This window comes from Homo sapiens, chromosome 6, assembly GCF_000001405.40.
Source record: "Homo sapiens chromosome 6, GRCh38.p14 Primary Assembly".
NCBI classification, from domain to species: domain Eukaryota; kingdom Metazoa; phylum Chordata; class Mammalia; order Primates; family Hominidae; genus Homo; species Homo sapiens.
The window spans coordinates 19,228,732-19,248,893 of record NC_000006.12 but is presented as its reverse complement, the minus strand read 5'-3'; the positions used below and the strand labels follow the sequence as shown (position 1 = coordinate 19,248,893).

The 20,162-nt window shown below is 36.6% G+C and overlaps 1 annotated feature.

Annotated features, from left to right (window-relative positions):
* Window positions 1,050–1,633: an enhancer, noted in NCBI's record as "OCT4-NANOG hESC enhancer chr6:19247492-19248075 (GRCh37/hg19 assembly coordinates)". NCBI's record gives its function as "activates a minimal SCP1, AML or CMV promoter by ChIP-STARR-seq in naive H9 embryonic stem cells {active_cell/tissue: H9 hESC(naive)}" and the evidence as "EXISTENCE:reporter gene assay evidence [ECO:0000049][PMID:30033119]".

Genomic DNA, 20,162 nt, shown 5'->3' with positions numbered 1-20,162 from the left:
AAATCTCTCAGCATTTGCTTGTCTCTAAAGGATTTTATTTCTCCTTCACTTATGAAGCCTAGTTTGGCTGGATATGAAATTCTGGGTTGAAAATTCTTTTAAGAATGTTGAATATTGGTCCCCACTCTCTTCTGGCGTGTAGAGTTTCTGCCGAGAGATCTGCTTTAGTCTGATGGGCTTCCCTTTGTGGGTAACCCGACCTTTCTCTCTGACTGCCCTTAACATTTTTTCCTTCATTTCAACTTTGGTGAATCTGACAATTATGTGTCTTGGAGTTGCTCTTCTTGAGGAGTATCTTTGTGGCATTCTCTGTATTTCCTGAATCTGAATGTTGGCCTGTCTTGCTAGATTGGGGAAGTTCTCCTGGATAATATCCTGCAGAGTGTTTTCCAACTTGGTTCCATTCTCCCTGTCACTTTCAGGTACACCAATCAGACGTAGATTTGGTCTTTTCACATAGTCCCATATTTCTTGGAGGCTTTGTTCATTTCTTTTTATTCTTTTTTCTCTAAACTTCTCTTCTCGCTTCATTTCATTCATTTCATCTTCCATCAGTGATACCCTTTCTTCCAGTTGATCGCATCAGCTACTGAGGCTTCTGCATTTGTCACGTAGCTCTCACGCCTTGGTTTTCAGCTCCATCAGGTCCTTTAAGGACTTCTCTGCATTGGTTATTCTAGTTATCCATTCGTCTAATTTTTTTCAAAGCTTTTAACTTCTTTGCCATTGGTTCGAATTTCTTCCTGTAGCTCAGAGTAGTTTGATTGTCTGAAGTCTTCTTCTCTGAGCTCATCAAAGTCATTCTCCGTCCAGCTTTGTTCCATTGCTGGTGAGGAGCTGCGTTCCTTTGGAGGAGGAGAGGCGCTCTGATTTTTAGAGTTTCCAGTTTTTCTGCTCTGTTTTTTTCCCATCTTTGTGGTTTTATCTACTTTTGGTCTTTGATGATGGCGACGTACAGAAGAGTTATTGGTGTGGATGTCCTTTCTGTTTGTTAGTTTTCCTTCTAACAGACAGGACCCTCAGCTGCAGGTCTGTTGGAGTTTGCTAGAGGTCCACTCCAGACCCTGTTTGCCTGGGTATCAGCCACGGTGGCTGCAGAACAGCGGATATCGGTGAACCGCAGATGCTGCTGCCTGATCATTCCTCTAGAAGTTTTGTCTCAGAGGAGTACCCGGCCGTGTGAGGTGTCAGTCCGCCCCTACTGGCGGGTGCCTCCCAGTTAGGCTACTCGGGGGTCAGGGACCCACTTGAGGAGGCAGTCTGCCCATTCTCAGATCTCAAGCTGCATGCTGGGAGAACCACTACTCTCTTCAAAGCTGTCAGAGAGGGACATTTAAGTCTCCACAGGTTACTGCTGACTTTTTGTTTGTCTGTGCCCTGCCCCCAGAGGTGGAGCCTACAGAGGCAGGCAGGCCTCCTTGAGCTGTGGTGGGCTCCACCCAGTTTGAGCTTCCCGGCTGCTTTGTTTACCTAATCAAACAACTAACTCCGCAGTGGCAGGCAGCCCTCCCCCAGCCTTGCTACCACCTTGCAGTGTGATCTCGGATTGCTGTGCTGGCAATGAGCGAGACTCTGTGGGCGTAGGACCCTCCAAGCCAGGTGTGGGATATAGTCTCCTGGTGTGCCGTTTTTTAAGCCCGTTGGAAAAGTGCAGTATTAGGGTGGGAGTGATCCGATTTTCCAGGTCCCATCTGTCACCACTTTCTTTGACTAGGAAGGGGAATTCCCTGACCCCTTGCGCTTCCCGGGTGAGGTGATGCCTCGCCCTGCTTTAGCTCGTGCACGGTGCACTGCACCTACTGTCCTGCACCTACTGTCTGGCACTCCCCAGTGAGATGACCCCGGTACCTCAGCAGGAAATGCAGAAATCACCCATCTTCTTCGTCGCTCACACTGGGAGCTGTAGACCAGAGCTGTTCCTATTTGGCCATCTTGGCTCCTCCTCTTTTTTTTTTTTTTGAGACGGAGTCTCGCTCTGTCACCCAGCCTATAGTGCATTGTGCAGTGGAGAGATCTCGGCTCACTGCAACCTCCGCCTCCTGGGATCATACCATTCTCCTGCCTCAGCCTCCTGAGTAGCTGGGACTACAGGCGCCCGCCACCATGCCTGGCTAATTTTTTGTATTTTTAGTAGAGACAGGGTTTCACCATGTTAGCCAGGATGGTCTCGATCTCCTGACCTCATGATCTGCCCACCTCAGCCTCCCAAAGTGCTGGGATTACAGGCATGAACCACCTTGCCTGGCCAAGTTATTGTATTTTTAAATTTAGAGTTTGCATTTGTTTATTTTCCTTTCTCATACTTTACTTTTAGTTCCTTAGGCATTGTTTCTTTTACTTCTTTTAACATATTTAAAACAGGTAACCAAATGTTTAGTAAGCCCAACATCTAGCCTTCCTCAGTGATGCTCTTCCTACTTAGCTGTATCTTCTCTTCTTTCTCTTTCTTTTGCTATTATTATAGTATATATTAAGTTTATTTTGGTTACAAATACAATCATATACTACTATAATTATTACTTTATATGATTTTATGTCATTTAAATAGGCTGAGAAAAGAAGTGTATATTTATTGAGCTTGTTATAATTACCATGTACTTACTCTTTCTGCTTTCCTTAACATCATTTTGTTGTTATAATATCTAATGTCTTTTCTTTGCTCCAATACAAATTTGTGCCCACCTGGTCCTTTGTGTTGTTACTGTTATATATATTATATTTCTATATGTTATAGGTCCAAAAAGACAATTGTATAATTATTGTTTTATATAATTGCCATTTAAATCATTTAATAAAGGAAAGAAAAAATATGCAATTATACTGTCTTTAGTAATTACATAATTACCTTTATTGATACTCTTTATTTTGAATGTAGATTTTGTGTCACTTCCTTTCATCCTGAAGAACTTTCTGTGGAATTTCCTGCAAGGTGTTTCTGCAGACAACAAATTATTTCTGTTTTGGTTTATCTAGCAATGTCTTAATTTTACTTCCTCCATTTAAAAATTATAGTGTTGCTGAATATAAAATTCTTAGTTGGCAGTTTTTTTTTTTTTTTCTATTTATAACTTTGTGAATGTTATCCCACTGCTTCCTGGCCTCTTTGGCTTCTGTTGAAAAGTCTGTGTTAATTTCATTGCATTTCCTTTTCTCCTACTGCTTTCAAAAAATTTCTCTTCTTTGTCTTTCAGCGTTTTCACTATGATGGCTCTGCAGGTAGATCTCTGCATTTATCATGCTTGCAGCTGAATGAATTTTTGGATGTGTAGATTTATGTTTTCTATCAAATTTCTGAAGATTTTATTTCTTTTCAAATATTATTTCTCTTTTTTCTCTCTTGCCTTCTTCTCCTATTTGCATTACACATATGTTGGTGTGTTTAATGGTATATTACCTTTCTCTGAGGCTCTGTTCATTTTGTAATTTTTTTCTCTCTGTTCTTCAGATTGTTTAATCTCTATTGATTTATCTTCAAATTTACTGACTCTTTGCTAGCTCAGATTTTATGTAGAGTCCCCCTAGAGAGTTTTTCATTTTAGTTATTGTATTCTTCAACTCTACAATATCTATTTGGTTCCTTTTTATAATTTCTATGTCTTTATTGATACTATCTATGTTCTGAGAAGTTGTCATCAGGCCTTTCTTTGCTTCTTTAAGCATGTTTCTAGTTGTTCTTAAAATATATTCATCTTAGCTAGTTTGAAGTCTTAGTGGGCCTTCTTAAAGTCAGTTTCTGCTGCCTACTTTCTCCTCCATCTATAAGTTGTGGTCTCCTATGTGTTCTCATATATTGTGAGCTTTTTAGTTTTTAGTATGGACATGCAAAGAATTTATTGTTGCAACTCTGGATACTGATTTATTTTCTCCCAACCAGGGGTTTGTAGCTTTTGTTATTTTTGCTTGTTTATTTATTTAGTGACTTAATATTTCAGTGAAGTCTATCACTCTATAGTGTACATCCTCTGATGCTGCACCTCAGAGGTCACAGCTCTGAGTATGTGCACAGTCATCCTATCCACCCCCAACTTCCATGGATAAAAGTGGCTTTAGTTAGTTTTGCTTTAACTGTCTTTTCTTTATTATTTCTGCTGAGCTTCTAGCTGGTGGGCCTATCTTGGCACCACACTCAGCTGTTAGCCTCCAATAATTATGCCATTGTTTTCAACAATGCCCCAGGACATAAGTTGCTCTACCGTCTGACTAAATTAAAGAGGTTTTTTGGGATAGTCTTTGATGCCAGTCATTAAGACTTGTTTTTCTTAATATTATGATTATTATTATACTTTAAGTTCTGGGATACATGTGCAGAACATGCAGGTTTGTTACACAGGTATATATGTGCATGGTGGTTTGCTGCACCCATCAACCCATCATCTAGGTTTTAAGCCCTGCATGCATTAGGTATTTGTTCTCATACTCTCCCTCCCCTTGCGCCCCACCCACTGACAGGCCCTGGTGTGTCATGTTCCCCTCCCTGTGTACATGTGTTCCTGTTTTTCAACTCCCACTTATGAGTGAGAACATGCGGTGTTTGGTTTTCTGTTCCTTGGTTAATTTGCTGAGAATAATGGTTTCCAGCTTCATCTATGTCCCTGCAAAGGACATGAACTCATCCTTTTTTATAGCTGCCTAGTATTCCAGGGTGTATATGTACCACATTTTCTTCATCCAGTCTATCATTGATGGGCATTTGGGGTGGTTCCAAGTCTTTGCTATTGTGAATAGTGCTGCAATAAACATACACATGTATGTGTCTTTATAGTAGAATGATTTATAATTCTTTGGGTATATATCCAGTAATGGGATTGCTGGGTCAAATGGTATTTCTGGTTCTAGATCCTCGAGGAATCACCACACTCTCTTCCACAGTGGTTGAACTAATTTACACTCCCACCAACAGTGTAAAAGTGTTCCTATTTCTCCACATCCTCTCCAGCCTCTGTTGTTTTCTGACTTGTTAGAATGATCACCATTCTAACTGCTGGCATGAGACGGTTTCTCATTGTGGTTTTGATTTGCATTTATCTAATGACTAGTGATGATGAGCTTTTTTTCATCTTTTGTTGGCCACATAAATGTCTTCTTTTGAGAAGTGTCTGTTCATATCCTTTGCCCACTTTTTGATGGGGTTGTTTTTCTCTTATAAATTTGTTTAAGTTCTTTGTAAATTCTTTGTTTTTCTCTTATAAATTTGTTTAAGCCCTTTGTCAGATGGATAGATTGCAAAAATTTTCTCCCATTCCGTAGATTGCCTGTTCAGTCTGATGATAGTTTATTTTGCTGTGCAGAAGGACTTTAGTTTGCTTAGATCCCATTTGTCAATTTTGGCATTTGTTGCAATTGCTTTCGGTGTTTAAGTCATGAAGTCTTTGCCCATGCCTATGTCCTGAATAGTATTGCCTAAGTTTTCTTCTAAGGTTTTTATGGTTTTAGGTTTTACATTTAAGTCTTTAATCCATCTTGAGTTAATTTTTGTATAAGGTGTAAGGAAGGGGTCCAGTTTCAGTTTTCTGCATATGTCTAGCCAGTTTCACTAGCACCATTTTGGTTTCATATGAAATTTAAAGTATTTTTTTCTAGTTCTGTGAAGAAAGTCAATGGTAGAATGATGGGAATAACATTGAATCTAAAAATTATTTTGGGCAGTATGGCCATTTTCACAATATTGATTCTTCCTATCCATGAGCATGGAATGTTTTTCCATTTGTTAGTGTTCTCTCTGATTTCCTTGAGCAGTGGTTTGTAGTTCTCCTTGAAGAGGCTTTTCCACATCCCTTGTAAGTATTCCTAGGTATTTTATTTTCTTTGTAGCAATTGTGAATGGGAGTTCACTCATGATTTGGCTCTCTGTTTGTCTGTATTGGTGTATAGGAATGCTTGTGATTGCTGCACATTGATTTTGTATGCTGAAACTTTGCTGAAGTTGCTTATGAGCTTAAGGAGTTTTTGGGCTGAGATGATGGGATTTTCTTAGTATACAGTCATGTCACCTGCAAACAGATACAATTTGAGTTTGTCTCTTCATATTTGAATACCCTTTATTTCTTTCTCTTGCCTGATTGCCCTGGCCAGAACTTCCAATACTATGTTGAATAGGAGTGGTGAGAGAGGGCATTCCTGTCTTGGGCCAGTTTTCAAAGGGAATGCTTCCAGTTTTTGTCTATTCAGTATGATATTGCCTATGGGTTTGTCATAGATAGCTCTTATTATTTTGAGATGCATTCCATCAGTACCTAGTTTACTGAGTGTTTTTAGCATAAAAGGGTGTTGAGTTGTATCAAAGGCCTTTTCTGAATCTATTGAGGTAATTATGTGGTTTTGTTGCTGGTTCTGTTTATGTGATTAATTACGTTTATTGGTTTGTGTATGTTGTACCAGCCTTGCATCCCGGGGGTGAAGCTGACTTGATCATGGTGGATGAACTTTTTGATGTGCTGCTGGATTCAGTTTGCCAGCATTTTATTGAGGATTTTGGCATCAATGTTCATCAGGGATATTGGCCTGAAATTTTTTTTGTGTGTGAGTCTTTGCCAGGTTTTGTTATCAGGAGGATGCTGGCCTCATAAAATGAGTTAGGGTGGAGTCCCTCTTTTTCTATTGTTTGAAATAATTTCAGAAGGAATGGTACCAGCTCCTCTTTGTACCTCTGGTAGAATTCGGCTGTGAATCTGTCTGGTCCTGGGCTTTTTTTGGTTCATAGGCTATTAATTACTGCCTCAATTTCAGAGCTTGTTATTGGTCTATTCATGGATTCAACTTCTTCCTGGTTTAGTCTTGGGAGGGTGTATGTGTCCAGGAACTTATCCATTTCTTCTAGATTTTCTAGTTTATTTACATAGAGGTGTTTATAGTACTGTCTGATGGTAGTTTGTATTTCTGTGGGATCAGTGGTGATATCCCTTTTACCACTTTTTTGTGTCTATTTGTTTCTTCTCTCTTTTCTTCCTTATTAGTCTGGCTAGTGGCCTATGTATTTTGGTAATCTTTTCAAAAAACCAGCTCCTGGATTCATTGATTTTTTGAAGGGTTTTTCATATCTCTATCTCCTTCAGTTCTGCTCTGATCTTAGTTATTTCTTGTATTCTACTAGCTTTTGAATTTGTTTGCTCTTGCTTCTCTAATTCTTTTAATTGTGATGTTAGGTTGTCAGTTTTAGATCTTTCTCGCTTTCTGATGAGGGCATTTAGTGCTATAAATTTTCCTCTTAACACTGCTTTAGTTGGGTCCCAGAGATTCTGGTATGTTGTGTCTTTGTTCTCCTTGGTTTCAAATAACTTATTTATTTCTGCCTTAATTTTGTTATTTACCCAGTAGTCATTCAGGAACAGGTTGTTTAGTTTCCATGTAGTTGTGCAGTTTTGATGGAGTTTCTTAATCCTGAATTCTTATTTGATTGCATTGTGGTCTGAGATACTGTTTGTTATGATTTCCATTATTTTGCATTTGCTGAGGAGTGTTTTAATTCCAATTATGTGGTCGATTTTAGAATGATTGCTATGTGATGCTGAGAAGAGTGTATATTCTGTTGATTTGGGGTGGAGAGTTCTGTAGATGTCCATTAGGTCCATTTGGTCCAGAGCTGAGTTCACGTCCTGAATATCCTTCTAATTTTCTGTCTCATTGATCTAATACTGACAGTGGGGTGTTAAAGTCTCCCACTATTATTGTGTGGGAGTCAAAGTCTCTTTGTAGATCTCTAAGAACTTGCTTTATAAATCTGGGTGCTCCTGTATTGGGTTTATACATTTAGGATAGTTAGCTCTTCTTGTTGCATTGATCCCTTTACCATTTTGTAATGTCCTTCTTTGTCTTTTTTGTTCTTTGTTGGTTTAAAGTCTGGTTTATCAGAACTAGGATTGCAACCCCTGCTTTTTTTTCTTTCCATTTGCTTGGTAAATATTCCTCCGTCCATTTATTTTAAGCCTATGTGTGTCTTTGCATGTGAGATGGGTCTCCTGAATACAGCACACTGATGGGTCTTGACTTTTTATCCAACTTGCCAGTCTGTGTCTTTTAATTGGGGCATTTAGCCCATTTACATTTAAGGTTAATATCGTTAGGTATGAATTTGATCCTGTCATCATGATGTTAGCTGGTTATTTTGCACATTAGTTGATGCAGTTTTTTTTCACAGTGTCATTGGTCTTTATATTTTGTTACATTTCTGCAGTGGCTAGTACCAGTTTTTCCTTTCCATATTTAGTGCTCCCTTCAGGAGCTCTTGTAAGGCAGGCCTGATGGTGACAAAATCTCTCAGCATTTGCATGTCTGTAAAGGATTTTATTTCTCCTTTACTTATGAAACTTAGTTTGGCTGGATATGAAATTCTGGGTTGAAAAATCTTTTCTTTAAGAATGTTGAACATTGGCCCCCACTCTTTTCTGGCTTGTAGGGTTTCTGCAGAGAGATCCACTGTTAGTCTGATGTGCTTCCCTTTGTAGGTAACCTGACCCTTCTCTCTAGCTGCCCTTATCATTTTTTCCTTTGTTTCAGCCTTAGAGAATCTAACGATTATGTGTCTTGGGGTTGCTCTTCTTGAGGGGTGTCTTAGTGGTGCTCTCTGTATTTCCTGAATTTGCATGTTGGCCTGTCTTGCTAGGTTGGGGAAGTTCTCCTGGATAATATCCTCAGGAGTGTTTTCCAACTTGGTTCCATTCTCCCCATCACATTCAGGTACATCAACCAGTTGAAGGTTAAGTCTTTTCACATAGTCCCATATTTTTTGGAGGCTTTGTTCATTCCTTTTAATTCTTTTTTCTCTAATCTTGTCTTCATGCTTTATTTCATTAAGTCGATCTTCAATCTCTGATATGCTTTCTTTCACTTGATTGATTCAGCTACTGATACTTGTGTATGCTTCACAAAGTTCTTGTGCTGTGTTTTTCAGCTCCATCAGGTCATTTATCTTCTCTCAACCGATTATTCTAGTTAGCAGTTCCTGTAACCTTTTATCAAGGTTCTTAGCTTCCTTGCATTGGGTTAGGACATGCTCCTTTAGCTCCAAGGAGTTTGTTATTATCCACCTTCTAAAGCCTACTTCTGTCAATTCATCAAACTCATTCCCTGTCCAGTTTTGTGCCCTTGTTGGAGAGGATTTGTGATCCTTTGGAGAAGAGGGATTCTGGTTCTTGGAATTTTCAACATTTTTGCACTGTTTTTTTTATTCATCTTTGTGGATTTAACTAACTTTGATCTTTGATGCTGTGATGGCATTTGGATGGGGTTTTTCTGTGGTCATCCTTTTTGTTGATGTTGATGTTATTGCTTTCTGTTTGTTAGTTTTCCTTCTAACAGTTAGGCCCCTCTTCTGCAGGTCTGCTGGAATTTGCTGGAGGTCCACTCCAGACCCTGTTTTCTTGGGTACACCATTGGAGGCTGCAGAACAGCAAAGATTGCTGTCTGCTCCTTCCTCTGGAAGCTTCATTTCAGAGGGGTATCCACCCGATGCCAGCTGGAGCTCTCCTATATGAGGTTTCTGTCATTCCCTGCTGGGAGTTGTCTCTCAGTCAGGAGGCACATGGGTCAGGGACCCAATTGAAGAGGCAGTCTGTCCCTTAGCAGAGCTCAAGCACTATACCGGGAGATCTGCTGCTCTCTTCAGAGCCAGCAGGTAGGAATGCTTAAGTCCACCAAAGCTGCGCCCACAGCCACCTCTTCCACCAGGTGCTATGTCCCAGGGAGATGGGAGTTTTATCTATAATGGGGCTGCTGCCGTTCTTTCAGAGATGTTCTGCCCAGTGAGGAGGAATCTAGAGAGGCAGTCTGGCCACAGCCACTTTGCTGTGCTATGGTGAGCTCTGCACAGTCCGAACTTCCCAGCATCTTCATTAACACTGGAAGGGGAAAACTGCCTACTCAAGCCTCAGTAATGGTGGACGCCCCTCCCCCTACCAAGCTCGTTCATCCCAGGCCGAATTCAGACTCCTGGGCTGGCAGTGAGAATTTCAAGCCAGTGGTTCTTAGCTTGCTGGGCTCTCTGGGAGTGGGATTCTCTAAGCGAGACCACCTGGCTCCCTGGCTTCAGTCCCCTTTCCAGGGGCTGTGTCACTGAGGTTCCAGGCACCACTGGGGTACAAATAAAAACTCCTGCAGCTAGCTTGGTGTCTGCCCAAACAGCCACCTAGTTTTATGCTTGAAACCCAGGACCCTGGTGGTATAGGCACATGAGGGCATCTCCTGGTCTCAGTTGGAAATGCAGAAATCACCCACCTTCTGCGTTGGTCTCACTGGGAGCTGCAGACAGGAGCTGTTCCTATTCGGCCATCTTGCCAGCAGAGAGCGAGACTTGTTCTTATCCCAGGAGGGCTATTTGGAGCTTTCCTTCCTTTTATGAATTAAAATTCTAGCTTATTTACAATTTTGCTTATTGTTATCGTGGAGTACCAGCCTCCTCTGAATTGCTGATCAGCCAAATATTCATTGATTTTGAGAACCTTCAGAAGCTTGAACCTTCTGCACTGTATTCTAAATAAAGTCAGCCTCATTGGGAGAGCTATAGAACTGTCTGCTCTTTTGGGCTGCTTTTCTCACTGTGCCACTGCTCTAGACCTGGGCATGAGGACAGTGATCTCTTCCTCAGAGTGATACCACTGTTGTACAAATTGTATGTTGGGCAAGTATGATAGCCATTGTTTTTCTCAGCTTGACTGTCCTGGCATGAAACTCCCACCCTCTAAATACTGTAAGGCAAGGGTAATTGGGGTCCAGAATTCTCAGTCTTTTGCTCCTGAGATAGCTCTACAAGTGGGAACTGGCTGAAAAAAAGGAACCTCAGACATCTTAGCTCCACTTGTCTGGAATACAGCTCCTGTAACACAAAGTTGGGGAATAAATAAGGAATTCTTGTGACTTGCCTCACCCAGGGAAAACTGTAGTCCTAAACTGTATCTTTTGGGAGAAGGAGCTCCATCTTCTTGACTGCATCTTCCTAGAGAAGGCTTCCATCACATTGAGTTGGTGGTGGGAAGGGGAAGGTCATGGATTGAATTTGATAGACTCTCTCTTTTCTTACCAAAAGTTAGATTTGATAGATTCTCTTGAATAAATCTGCTTAACTTGCTGTATCCACTAGGACAAATTCTAGAAATTTGAAATAGTTGCTTCTTATAATTTTCAACAATTATGATTTATAATTATGAAGAAGCTTTATAGAGCTCTTCATGCTGGCATTCCAAAATTACTTTCTATTCTTTTATCTAGACAACATTAAATAGACTTTATACTATTCCTTCCTTAAGTATCTGGTAGGACACTCAAGTGAAACCATCTAATCTTAGAGTTTTTTTCTTGAAAGGCTTTAAAGTAAAAACATAAATTTCTTTAACAGATATGGAACTATTCAAATTATTCCTTTTTGAATAAGTTTTATAATGTATCTTTCAAGTATTTGTTGATTTTATTTAAGTTGTTAAATTTATGTGCATTGAGTAGTTTAAAATATTCCCTTTATAGCCTTTTAATGTCTGTAGGTTCTCTAGTGATGTCTCATTTTTCATTCTTAATAATTTGTGATTTTCCTTTTTATTTTTGGTCATTCTGGCTACAGCTTTATACATTTTATTAATTTTTTCCAAAGAAACACCTTTTAGTTTTATTTATTTTCTCTATTGTTCTTTTGTTTTAAATTCATTGACATCTGCATGTATTTTTTTTAATTTGTATTTTCTTTCTTTTGCTTATTTTGAAGTTTGCCTTTCTTTAGATTCTTACCATGGAAACGTAGGTTACTAATCTGCCAAATATTTTTTCTTTTCAATATAAACATTGAATAATGTAATTCCACACATGTGTACTGCAATAACAGCATCATAAAACTTTTGATAGGTTGTATTTCTAGGGTGTTTTTTGTGAGTTCAAAATATTTTAAAATTTTACTTGAGAGTTCCTCTTTGACTCATAGGTTATTTTGAAGGTGTTTTTTTTATCAAAACATTTGGGAGTTTCTTATTATTTTTATTTTATTGATTTCTAGTTTAGTTCCATTACGGTCTGAGAATATATGATTTCTACTATTTTATATTGTTAAGGCTTAAAAATTGTATTGTTTATCTTTTGAATGTTCTATGTCTATTCTATTTTTTGTTAGATTTCTAAAAACTTTCTATAAATTCTAGTTAGGTCAAGATGTTTGATAATGTTTTTAGGTCTTTTATAGTCTTACTGATTTCTGTCTATTTGTATTATGCATTACTGAGAAAGGAATGTAAGTCTCCAACCATAATTGTGGATTTATTTATTTCTCCTTTCATTCTGTATGTTGTTTCTTTATCTATTTTGAAACTCTGTTGTTAGATGGATAACATTAACATTCTTGTATCTCCTTGGAGAACTGACTCTTTAGCATTATATAATATCTCTCTTTATCTCTGATAATACTTCTTAATCTGAAGTCTATTTTGTCTGTTACTAATATGACTACTTAGTCTTTTTTTTAGTTAATGTTTGTAGGTATATCTTTTTTTATCCTTTTAATTTTAACATATGTATAGTTCTATATTTAATGTGAATTTCTTATAGACAACATATACATGGATCTTGATCTTTTATCCAGTCTGACAATTTGTTTCTTCTGGTGATGTCAACTGATATGCATGGATTAAAATATACTAACTCTCTAACTATTTTCTATTTGTTCCTTCTATTTTGTTTTTTCTTCCCCTTCTGTCTTTTTGGTCATTTTTAATGATTTATTTTATTTCCTTTATTGACATATTATTTATACCTCTTAAGAACTGTTTAGCGGTGGTCCTTAGAGTTTACAACATGCATATTTAATCAATCAATGTCTACATTTAAATAAGATTATCTCTTCATGTGTAGTGTAAGAGTTTTATAACAGTATGTTCCCAATTTGCCCTTTTCATTGATTGTGCTATTGTTGCCATACACTGGGCTTTTGTATGTGCTATGGACATACTACATATTCCTACTATCTATGGTGTGAACAGTCAATTGTCTTTTAGAGTAATTAAAAATAAGAAAACATTTTCATGCGATCTTCTCTAGCACTCTTCTTCTCTTTGTGTAGATGCAAGTTTCTTTCTGTTGTATTTCTCTACCCAAAGAACTTCATCCAATATTTCTTGAGCAAGTCTTCTGTCAAGTTATCAGTTTATTTTTATTAACCTGAAAAATGTTCTTATTTTCTTAAGAATTTAAAAATATTTTTTAGAAACACGGAATTATTGACTGACAGCATTCTTTTTCTTTCAGACGTTTAAATATTTTACTTCCTTGTTTTCTAGTTTGTATGGTTTCTGACTAAAAGCTGCTTTAATTCTTATCCTCATTCTTGTCAAGATAATGTCTTTTTCTCTGACTTATTTCAAGATTTTCTTTGCCTTAAAAAAAAAATCAGTTTGAATATTATAGCCATAGGTGTGGTGTGGTGTACATGCATGCTTGTATGTTTGGTATTTTTCCTGCTAGGGGTTTCCTGAGTTTCTTATGTCTGAGGTTTGATCTCTGTCTAATTAAAAAAAAATTCTTCATCATTATTATTTTTTCTCTGCTCTGTTTTTTTCTTCTGAGATTCCAATTACATATATTTTTTGTAATATAAAATTACATATGCTCTTGAATGAGCTTTTCTGTTGAAGTTTCTTTTTTAGTTTCAGTTTTTGTAATTTTTATGAGTGTATCTTGAAGTTTGCTATATCTTTCTTATGTTATGAGCTGAATTGTCTGCCCCTGATCCCTGGCCCCAAGAAACCTCAGAAGAAACCAACTCTACCAACACCTTAATATTAGACTTCTGACTACAGAATTGTGAGAAAATAAATTTCTGTTTTTTAAGCTACTCAGTCTGTGCTACTTTTTTGTGGCAGCCTTACCAAATGAATATACCTTGACTATGTCAACTCTGCTATGAACCTGTTAAGGGTGTTCTTTACTCCATTACTCTATTTTTCATTTCTAGCACTTCTAATTAATACTTTCTTACAGTTTGTTCCTCTCTGCTGAAATTACCCAATTGATATTGCATGTTATTTACCTTTTCAATTAGACCTTTTAATATCTGAATCATATTTAATTGACACTCCTTGGCAGATAGTTCCAATCTCTATGTCATATCTGAGTCTGCTTTTAAGGATTGCTTTGTTTCTTAGGAATGTGCTGGACTTTTTTCTTTATTTTTCTTATGCTTTGTACTTTTTACTGAAGACTTGAAATTTTGTGTACTGTAGTAAAGGCTGAGGTACACAGCATTTTTTCTTGGAAATGAGCATAGTTTTCTTTTGCGAGGATTTTATTGTGGAGAGGTTAGGGTTAATCTAATTAGAAGTTGAGCTGTGTTTTAGGTTTGTTTTTACAATGGTTATCCTCAGTGCACCACATATTCTTCTAGTGATGCTTTGTGTTAGAGTGGGGACTATTTTGCCTGAAGGTTTTTACCCTCTTTATTTTCAGTATCTACTCAAATATCAGCTTTTAGTCTTTCCTTAATGCCACGTATAGAGAGGGTCTATTTCTTGAAAGTTACTTCTTTCTACATGCTGGTTAGCCTGTCATGGAAGATTGGGGCATTCTCTGTTTTGACTAAGCTTCACTCTTAGGTCATCATCAAGTACCTACATCTTGTGTTTCTGGGTTTCACCACTGACCATGTAGTCCTGAGCTCAGCCTGTATTCCTGCCCCTTCCTGAGGGATAGAGATTATTTTCCCATTCTCTTCTCCTATTTGCAATAGGCAATGGTACTTGTTGCCCTTCCCCCTTCCCTCTGCAGATTAAGGCTTTTGTTCTATAGGGAAAATAGGGGAGAAGTGTCTTAACAAAATTTCTCTTACTACTCCAAATCTTTTCAGCCTATGTTTTCTATCTTCTTGTTGGAAGTTACCACATTTCATTTAAAATATATCCTAGAAGGTTTTATTTTTAACTTTGGGAGATCAAATTAAATAGTTAAAATTTAATGAACTATAACATTTAATAGTTTAAATTTCTTTGTTCTTATTAGTAACATAAAAATACAATGGAAATATGATCAAAGTGTTCATTTCAGGTAGGCACTAGGGCTGCTCAATGATAATGTAGCTTTCCTCATTCCAGTTACTTGCTAAGATTGCATTTCCCTATCTCCTTGATGTTGGGCGTGTTATTTTAAGTTGTTTTTGGAAAGTGAAATTTGAGTACAAGTGCTAGGAGACAGTTTGAGATTCTGTACACTTCCTACTTTCTGCCATCAGAGGATCTAGCTATACTCCTGTTACAGACAGGGCTCCCAGCTTGGGACCTGGAGTAAAGAGATGTGGAATAGATTCCACAGTAAATTCAAAATGGACAGGTAGCCAGAGCATACTTTTGTTGTTATAAGACACTAATATTTTAGGAATGTTTGTTACTTCACCATTATATAGCTACTTTGACTAATACTATTGCATTTCTCAGGGAAATGAATTTCAGCAGTGGTATCTATATCTCAGTGGACATCTGAAATACCCCTGAATGTGGAAGGCCCAGGCCAGTAACATAATGTGTTATCGATAACCCATGATAATTTTATTGTAAAAAAAAGACACACTAAAATTCACATGAAGACATTAAGTTGTACTCGGGGATGTAGAAAGCTGGAAACAGAGCTGGCGTCTACTTTGTACAACATCTTTGTCATGGGTTATTCCAATTTCTTATGTAGGGTCCCTTAGTCTGTCTGTATTTTTATTTTCACCAATATTTCTAAGTTCTTGTTCTTCCTCCTCTGTTTCACAGATAACATTCAGCCCCTTTTTATATCCTTTGGGAATAATCTTTTCAGATGACTGTATTTGCTCTTATAAATTATATTTTTCCTTTGTGTTAAATTGCCACATTACTCCAAAAAGATTATAAGAATGTATATCAGCTATTGAAATATTTAAAGAAAGACATATGTGTGTGTATCTCTTTATATAATCATATATATCTCCACATTCTTGTCTGCTTAATGTCAACTCTACTAGAATTGCCATGAAAAATCATGTAAACTTATGTGTTCACTATCATTTTATGTACCTTTAGTTTTATATATGGCTACTGTAATTTTTCTTTGAAAACATACATCTTATGGTGAGACACATGACTATATTAAGGGATAAATTCTTTGATGTTATTTTACAATAATCATTGATAGCTGGGTCAGGAGTAGGAAAAATTTCCCTTTAACTTAATAGAAGATCTAGCATTTCCATTTCTTTAAAGCAGCAACAAAGGAGTTTGTACACCCTATTCTGATAAGCTTATGGCAATACAGACAAGAAACATGGGGAAGCAGAGACCCAGACTTGCAATGTGGGTTGACAATGAATACAGGCCCCTCTCCACTACTGATTAATTTTCAGATGATCTTATCACCAGCCAGAGCAGGAAGAAAGGCTAAGGGTGCCTTATAGGGAAGAAAAATCAGGCTTTAAGTTCTGGGCACCCGGATGTTTGACTCTTTCAGGTACTTTGCTCATTCGGGTGATACCATTTTGTGAGGAATTTTGTTTAGTTTTTCTATCAGTATTTCCCCTCACACTTCAGTAAAATGTAAAATAAACTTAACTGACTGCCAAAAGCAAGCTTATAAGTAAACAGAGCTAGAGAGAGCAGAGGCAGAGTGCTGAGCGGGAAGCCATGGAGAGGAATGAGAGTCTAGCCTCACAAAAGCTTTAATAGGAGCCTCTTTGAAATGACTAACAATAACAGACTAAAACATTCAGGAGGAAAAAATAAAGTTTAAAAGATTATAAAGCAAAGAGGCTAGCAGCAAATATATGACACAAAATGTTCTGAAGCTGCTTTGCCACGCACGCTCTCTCTCTCAAAGCTATTTTGGCTTGGTTTCAGGTTCCAGGACATGGCTCAAAGGGACCCTCTGTCTTTTGGAAATTTTGTGCCAAGAACCCTGGGTCCAGAATGCCTCTGGGAGCTGGCTTGGTTCTGGGGAGTTGGCATAGACTCTGGAGAGTAGAATGTGGCAAATAAATTGTTGTATATTCTGACTATATAAATATTATACACCAAAAAAGTTGAAGAAAAATATTGAAAAGAAGGTGGATACATTTATAAGTTGCATTATCTATGATCACTTAGGGTCAAAGCTTGTCAATAAATGTTCATAACTCACACAATGGAAGTACATTCTTATTTAACAGTATGAAGTAAAAGAAAGAAAATGTTGACAGAATAACATTGAAGAAAGAAGGGTACAGGAAGAAAATACAGGAAAGTTTTTACTATTCACATTAAGGAACCAATAGATACCATATAAAGAAATGAATGTCTAAAGATACAGCAGATGAAATAGAGACCAGCAAACCACAGCTTATGCCAAATCTCATTCAATGCCTGTTTTCATATGACCTACAAAATATGGTTTTCGCATTTTTTAATTGTTGAAAAAAATCAGAGGATAATAGTTCAACACGTGAAAATTGTATAAAATTTAGGATGCAGAATCTACAATAAAGTTTTTCTGGAATGCAGTCATACTCGCTCATCTGCAAATGATCTACAGCTACTTTCATGTTATAATGGCACAGTTGTGACAGAGACCCTATGGCCTGTATTTTCTAATTCTAGTAATTAGAAAAATGATGGATTTGGTATATAAAAACAAAAGATGTTTCTTTGAAAAAAATAGTAAAATATTATCTAACTTAATCAAGAAAAAGAAAAAAACTGCAATTAAAAACAAACAAGCAATGAAACACACAACCAGATAGTAAAAAGGAAATGACCACATAGGAATAGAAGAAATTAAAGATTCATAAGAATTCTAAATTGAAAAGCTTGGATGAAAAAAATATGATTTACACAAAATGACAACACAAATGACAGAAAATCTAAACAGAACTACTTCAATAAAGGCAATAGACAAAATTATGCAAAGGTTATTCCCAGCAAAGTGGCAGATTTGGACAGTTTCATAAAGGAATTCAAATATTTTAAAAGCAAATAATACCAATGCTATTTAAATTGTTCTGGAAAAGACTAGACAAAAGAAAATCTCAATTCATTTTGGAAAGGGGGTATAAAATTGGTAATGAAACCTGATAAAGATGTGCACACAAAAAAAACTATATAGATTAATCTGTTATCAATAATAACAAAAACATTCTAAAATTTTTAGCAAATGAAATTCAAAAGTATGTAAAAAGAATCATTATTTTGAAAGAAGATTTTAGAAGTACAACCATCAGGAAAATGCAAATCAATATCATGTTACATCTATTAGGATGCCTATTATCAAAGAAACCAAAAGATAACAAGTGTTAGCGACTATGTGGAGAAAAAGGAGTCTTTGCACAGTGTTGGTGGGAATGTAAATTGGTACAGCCATTAAGAAAAACAGGATGCAGCATTCTCAAATGAAAAGTATAACTACCATATGATCCAGCAATTCCACTTCTGGGTATTTACTCAAAGAAAATAAAATTAGAATCTTTAAGAAATATCTGCATTCACATGCTCGTTGATCGCATCATTATGCACAACAGTCAAGATGTGGAAACAACCTAAATGTACACGAACAGATAAATGGATAAAGAAAATGTGGTATACACAGACAATGTGGTATTATTCAGCCTTTAAGAAGAAGGAAATCCTGCCATCTGCAACAACATGAATGAACCTGGAGGGCATTATGCTAGGTGAAATAAGCCAGACACAGAAGGACAAATACTACATGATCCTATTTATATGAGAAATCTACAATAGTCAAACTCATAGAAGCAGACAGTAAAATGATGGTTGCCAGGGTCTGAGGGGAAGGGGAAACAAGGAGATACTTTTCAAAAGGTACAAAGTTCTAGCTATGCAAGATGAATAATTTCTACTGATCTACTGTGCAGCATCATGTCCATAATTAACAGTATGGTATTGTATACTGAAAATTTTGCCAAAAGGGTAGATCTTATGTTAAGTGTTCTTATCACAAATATAGGTAAACAAAGATGGTGGGAGAAGCCTTTTTGGAAGAGAGAGATATGATAATTGATGTAGTGATGGTTTCACTGGTGTATTCTTAACTCCAAAGTCATCAAGTTGTACATGTGAAATATGTACAGCTTTTTGTATGTATTCATACCTCAATACAGTGTTTCTTTAAGTACAAGGATGGTTTGTTATTCAGAAATGTGTTAATACATAGCTTATAATGTTGAAGAAACATTGTGATCATTTTCATATATGTCAAAGAGACATTTGACAAAGCATAACAGCCATTCTTCACAAAAATATTCAGTCAGTAAGGATGTATACACACTTTTTAAGCATAGGAAACATATTTACCTCAATCCAAAAAGTCAATATCATGCTCAGTTGAGACATACTACTGAAATCAAAATCAAGATGTTGACTACCACCTCTACTATCCCACAAAGTACTGGAATTACTAGTCAATATGATTAGACAATGAAGGAAAATTAGAAGCGTAAACACTGTAAACAGTAACTGTGTTGAGATGACATGAATAGTATATTTGAAAACCCAAGATAATCAACTTAAACACTACAAAGAGTGAGAGAATTCAGGAAAGTTATAGTGTAAAAATGTTACTAAATATAAAGTAATAGATTATTATGTACAAATAGCAAGGAGTTAGAATATATAATGGGAAAATATTTAAAACAGCAAAACAATACCTCTAGAAATACACGTAATAAAAGTGTAGAAACCAACATGAAGAAAAATTAAAACACTTCCCAAATGTGAAAACAAAGATGGGCTTTTTAGTAAATGATGTTGGTATTACACATCTGGAAAAAAAAAATGGTGGAATCTACACCTCACACTAAACATCAGGAATAATTCCAAATAAACACATTTCTTTATTAAAATTAAGAAAAGTTTTTAAAATAGTAGGAAAAATAGGAAAATCCATACATAAATCTGAAGTGGGGGATTCCCTTTTAACCAACAACTCAAAACCTAAATGATAAAAGATGACATAAGAAAACAGAAAAGAAACTTCTTCAAGCAAAAATGAAAAAGAAAAACCAACACAACAATAACATAATGAATAAAGAGACGAATATACATGGGGCAGGGAATAATTGCAATTTCTACCACAGACACAGGAATACTTTTTCCTAATATATAAATAGCTTCCCCAAATTAACAGTAAAAGATAATTGTATAGAAAAAAAAAAAAAGAAATAGATTGAATGGACAGCTCAAACATATAAAAAAAGATGAGGT